This window comes from Homo sapiens, chromosome 2 (assembly GCF_000001405.40).
Source record: "Homo sapiens chromosome 2, GRCh38.p14 Primary Assembly".
Taxonomy (NCBI): domain Eukaryota; kingdom Metazoa; phylum Chordata; class Mammalia; order Primates; family Hominidae; genus Homo; species Homo sapiens.
The window spans coordinates 238,695,939-238,701,300 of record NC_000002.12 but is presented as its reverse complement, the minus strand read 5'-3'; the positions used below and the strand labels follow the sequence as shown (position 1 = coordinate 238,701,300).

The window sequence follows — 5,362 nt, the reverse complement described above, 5'->3', positions numbered from 1 at the left end:
CCAGGCTGCGATTTCCAGCACAGGCCCCACTCAGCCAGACCCTATGGACAGCACTGAGGCACAAGCTACCCTATCACCCACACCCTCAGTGGCAGAGCTTGTCCCCATGAGGCAGGGGAGCTGGGATGCTTCACCCACAGGTGGCTGAGGGTGTAAACCCCTAGGCCCTTTGGCTTCAATAGTTCAAGGGCAGTTCTCTGAGGAGCAGCAGGTGCTGTGGTGGAGGAAACACCCACAGAAGCCAAGGGATAGGCGCCTGGGAACAGGGAGAGTGATGTTGGGGAGCTAGGCAGAGCGTGCTGTGTCTGCTGCATGTGTCTACGTGCACACAGATGCGCTGCCTGTGTCATCTACATCTACATGTACACGGATATGCTGCCTGCATATTCTGCATATTCACAGACATGCATCATGTGCCTATATGTACACACCTCTGCTGCCTGCGTCATCTACATGTACACAGACACACTGCCTGCACATTCTGCAGGTACACAGACGTGATGCACGTGCTTATAGCCACACAGCCCTGCTGCCTGCGTTGTGTGCATGTACATGGACATGCTGCCTGTATCTGTGGGTGAGACAGAGTCACAGGCTGTCTCACTCAAGTGTCTCATTCACTCAAGAAGGAGACCTTGACTGCAGGGAGGGCAGGTCCCCCAGCAAGTTCTCCCAGGCTCACTTTGTGGCCCTGGCTTGCCCCTTCTTGGGCTGTGTCCACTATTCTGAGGGGACTTACCAATCTAGCAGGCAGGGGTAGGGGAACCGCCAAGCTGGCACAGATGTCACACTAGCTAGTGGGGCAGCGTCGATGAGGAAAGCGCTTTTCCACTTCCCACTGCTCAGCATTTACACCGGTGCCTGCACCCTCATCAGGCTTTCCCCCCTCATTCTCCTGTGCCACACCGGAGTGACTAGGCTGACGGGGTGACTGTGAGCCGCAAAGACCCTGGGCAGACGTGGCCCTGGAGCTGCATAGCCTTCACGCCCATGCCGAGAATGGTGTCCTGAAAGGTCCCAGGCAGGGCTCATTCCTGTCATGTTTGCGCATCCACAGTGCAGATAAGCTGGAAGGAACTGTTTTGATGAGGTCATCAGAGTCGATGGTGCAAGCAGCCATCGGGCGCTGTCTTGCCAGGAACACAGATAGACCAACCCTTGCTAGGATCTATGTGCTTAAGAGCTTCTAAACTTTGTTAAGAGTACTTTACTGTTCCCTTTTGCTTAGGAATTTACTCGAAACACTCAAATCTCCTTATGCATTATTTGGGGACCCTGCTCAGGGCCAAGCCACTTCACCTATCTGAGATGTCGGGTAATCTCAGCATTCCCACCTCCACACCTTTTGAAGCTGGCCCAGCTATTTCAGCATCATCGATCGCCACTCTGCTTGGTACAGGAGGAAGTCTTGGCTGTGGTTCTTTTTGTAGTTTTGAGTTTGCTTTTTTGTGAGGGTCACAGTTTTGCTCAGGCGTGACTCTGCGTATGGACAAGGAGACATTTTGAAGTGGTCATTAGATGGAAGTATGCCCTATGCTCTGATGGTGCTGCCCTGAGGTCCCCAGCAGAGGCCAGGCTCCTGGGGACAAGACCCCGTAAGGTGCTGTTTGATCCCCTCCTCCGGACCCAGAATCTTTGCTGTGGCAGGAGGAGGAGGCCAGCCCCATTCAGGTGCCTGTGTGTAATAAGAACTGGGGCTCAGAAAGGGGCTTCTTTGGACCAAGCTGCACTCTGAGCACCCCTGTGACCCTCTCCCCTCACCGCCCACTCATTTGGGGGAGGGGGGCAACACCAAGAAAAGCTTTGCTGCATGAGCTGCTCGAGGCCGGGGATTCATCTCGCCATGTGCAGAAGCTTCACAAGCCTGAGGAAGGGGCCACTCACCATTCCTCCTCTTTACCCTCCCAGGGACTCCTGTGGGAGGCAGAGGCCCAGCCAGGACCCTGCCTACTCCAGGGACGAGTGTGCAGGAGGTTTGGCCCCATCCAGGGAGGGCAGGACCTGCTGGATAGGGAGGCCTTTGAGCTTTGTCTCAGTGCCCCTGGGCACACGTGGAGTCCCCACCCTGAGGACCAACTGTGGGGTCACAGAGTGACAGCAAGCCCATGGGCCTCATCCATCCATGCCCAGGGGTGACCTGCCCTTGGGGGCTGGTACTCAGAGGAGCCAAGAGACCAGGAGCGAAGAGGGTAGGAGGCTGAGGGTCAGCAGTGGCGGGCAGGAAGGAGGGTGTGGCCATCTGCACTGTGCTTCCAGAAGGGCCCTGGTGCACGTGAAAGGCCACCACGTGACGGACCGGCCCACAGACCGTCCTGGCTGTGCCTGCTCTCCAGCTTCCTCCATCCTCTGACCAGGCCCTGGGTGCCTTTGACATTGCACCAGCCACTGACCAGGGCAGTCATGGAGATGAAGGGGAGACAGCACCCTGTGGGGCTGCAGATCCCTATGCTTATGGGCGGCGACAGTGGCACTGCCTCTCCATGCTGCTGGTGGGTATCAGGCCAGGGGGTCCATCAGAGATGATCCTGCCTCCAACCATAGAGCCCTCAAGAACAGGCCTGCAGACTCGAGGTCCAGGGCAGAGTGGGGCACTCAGCCCGCCCTGGTTCCAGGCCCGAACCTGGAACGTGTGGGAACGTGTCACATCCACACAAGCTCACGCCAGGCACCCGATGCACACAGACACATAAAGACCATCTCTTTGAATGTGACCATGACAGTACAGACGCGACCAGACATTTTCTCCCCAGAAACGTAGCCATCAGCAGGAATAAAAATAGAAAGGCTGCTGTCTCACTACAGAGGATAAAAGCAAGCCAAGCATGGGACAGATAAAAAGAGAGGAAAAGGAATGGCAAAAAAGCAAAAGAAAAAATTCAAACAGAAAACAAAAAGCAAGAGGACAGAGATGGGAACAGCTGTGCCGAAATTAAAACTGAAAATGTCTTCATTAACAGACAAAGGTTTTGTATCAGATGGAAAGTAACATCCATAAGCACAGAACGGCCCTGAAACATTGAAAATAAAAAGATGGGTAGAGGTTTGCACTGTCAAACACAAATAACATAAATAAGATAGTAATGCAATAGGCAGGAGAGTCAAGTTCAAAGAGGAAAACGGGGAATAGGGCCAGCATTTCCTGATACAAACGCTGTGAGCCAATAGCATGTGAAGCGTGAATCTCAGAGACAGCTTAAGAGGCCAGCCCAGCCGCCACGAGGTGCGTGGCCATAGGAGAACCTGCAAGCATCGCAGCCAACTTGGAGCTGTTAGCGCTGCATTCCTCCAGATGATGGAGGAGGTGAGTGGTGGGTTGTGGCATTTCGACAGCCCCTTACCCCGTGGGCCATTAACCTGACAAGCCCAGGCCTGCAACCTTCCAAAGAGGGGACCCACTGAAGCCCACGAGAATGTCCAGATATCATGACAGCGTTAAGCCGAGACCTTGGGAAGGTTTCCATATGGGAACTCCTAACATTTCTAACTCACCAATACGCTTGCCCACAGCTTTGGGTGGATGACAGCATCATCCCCAGCAGGGAGGTCACTTGGGATGATAATACCAAGATTCTGCACTATTCAAGAATTAGTATGGCCCTGGCCAGCACAGCAGGGCTGCGATGGGGAAGTGCAGGAAGCCTGTCCCGTTTGGGAGGCAGACCCAGAAGGCTGTGGGATCCACCTACTGTGGGGGTGCATGCATGGAAGGGGGTGCCCCCACTGAGGCAGAGTCCACAGGAGCTGCCCTGAGAAGAACACACAGGCAGCTTTGAACTGTGCAGAACGAGAGGTGCCGCGGGATGTTCAGCCTCAGGTGAGCACAGGACGTGATGACCAGGGCCTGGGATAGCCAGATGGGGACCATTCCAGTGGGGAAACCCATGGTGAGGGGGAACCCAAAGGCAGGCCCAGCCCCACGGCCGAGCAAAGAGCTCATTTAGTTGGAGTGGAAGTGGCACATGTTGGCCCGGGAAGGAAGCAGGGTGGCCCTCCTGCCAGGATCCCAGGGCTTAGCCCTCAACCCCAAATAATGGAAGGGGTAGAGATCCACGGGTGGCAGAAGTTGGGGGGACGCAGAGGAGATCATGAACGTGCTGGGAGCCTTGAGAGAATTTCTGGAGCCAGAGAAGGACTAGCTCAGAGAACTGATCATGAAAGTGTTCCCCTATCCTCTGCACCTGAGTTCACACCACCTCAATGCATTCACACCACCTCAATGCGTTCACACCACCACAAGCTCATACCATACTCGGTCACCCAACTACAATACTTAACTCTTTCTGTTAAGTATTCCTGGTTTGCGTAATGTGCCCTAGTTATGCAAGATGTCACCACTGAAGGAAGCTGGGAGATGGACCATGGACCTTTCTGTGTCATTTTTGCAACTTCTTCTGAGTCCAAAAATTAGTTCAAAAGGAAGGAAAGTGCTAACAAATTCATTAAGTAGAAATTAATTTATCAAAGCATCTCATGTAACAATGCAAAGGCCTCCATGAGTAGTAAGGATCTATTAGTCGTTTGCACACTCGTGTGAATTAGCTGGTTAGAATTAATCTTCGCATGAAACTGAATGAAGTACTGGATGGGGGAGGATGTGGAACAATACTCATATTTGAGGTGAGGGTGCCCTGAGGGCTGGACTGAGAGATGTATTCAATGGGGCTGAGGGTTAGGACAAGCTCTGAGCCTCAGGGCAGAGACTCTGGGAGAGAAAAGGGCCTGGGCTCTGACCTGGAAGGATATGTTCCCTCCTGCAGCTCCTCCACCTCTACCCATTTTGCCACGGGGTCCCGTGGCCCTGGCAGAAAATGAGCTGCACCCACAGAGCTTTGTTCTCCGGATCAAGAGTCATGTTTGTTTTATGGGCAGCCTGGAAGCAGAAAAAGCTACTTGTTCAACCCAATTTGACTATGGGCAGCAAGATTATATTCATGCTCAATGACCGCTGCTCAGCTCCATTTGGGAAAACAAACCTCAGCGACTTGGGAATGGCTTAGGTTCTGTGTTGCCCTTTGTCAGAGGCTGTGGGGGGCTGTGGGACTGCAGTAAGGGCCTGAGACTCTGCCTCCAGGCCCCCCGAGCAGGGTGGGCTCTCACACAGCCTTGACTTTCTGGGGAGCAGCTAGAGCAAGCTCGATGAGACATATGTTTTTCTTCTGCTTGCAGAGGAAAGAGGCTTGGATTAAGTTTTGAAATTTATTTCAAATGCCTCTATCATGAGACTTACACAATTTGTATTTTCCAGCTTTAAAATAAGCTTTAAAGTTTGAGACTTTATTTGTCTGAGCGAGGAAAATGCTTCCTTCTTTGTTAGACGTTTTGTTGTTTATTGAACACCTAAGAAAAAGCCATTTGACAAAGA

At 52.9% G+C, this 5,362-nt stretch overlaps 1 annotated feature.

Annotated features, from left to right (window-relative positions):
* Nucleotides 3,728-4,228: an enhancer, noted in NCBI's record as "H3K4me1 hESC enhancer chr2:239605714-239606214 (GRCh37/hg19 assembly coordinates)". NCBI's record gives its function as "activates a minimal SCP1, AML or CMV promoter by ChIP-STARR-seq in naive H9 embryonic stem cells {active_cell/tissue: H9 hESC(naive)}" and the evidence as "EXISTENCE:reporter gene assay evidence [ECO:0000049][PMID:30033119]".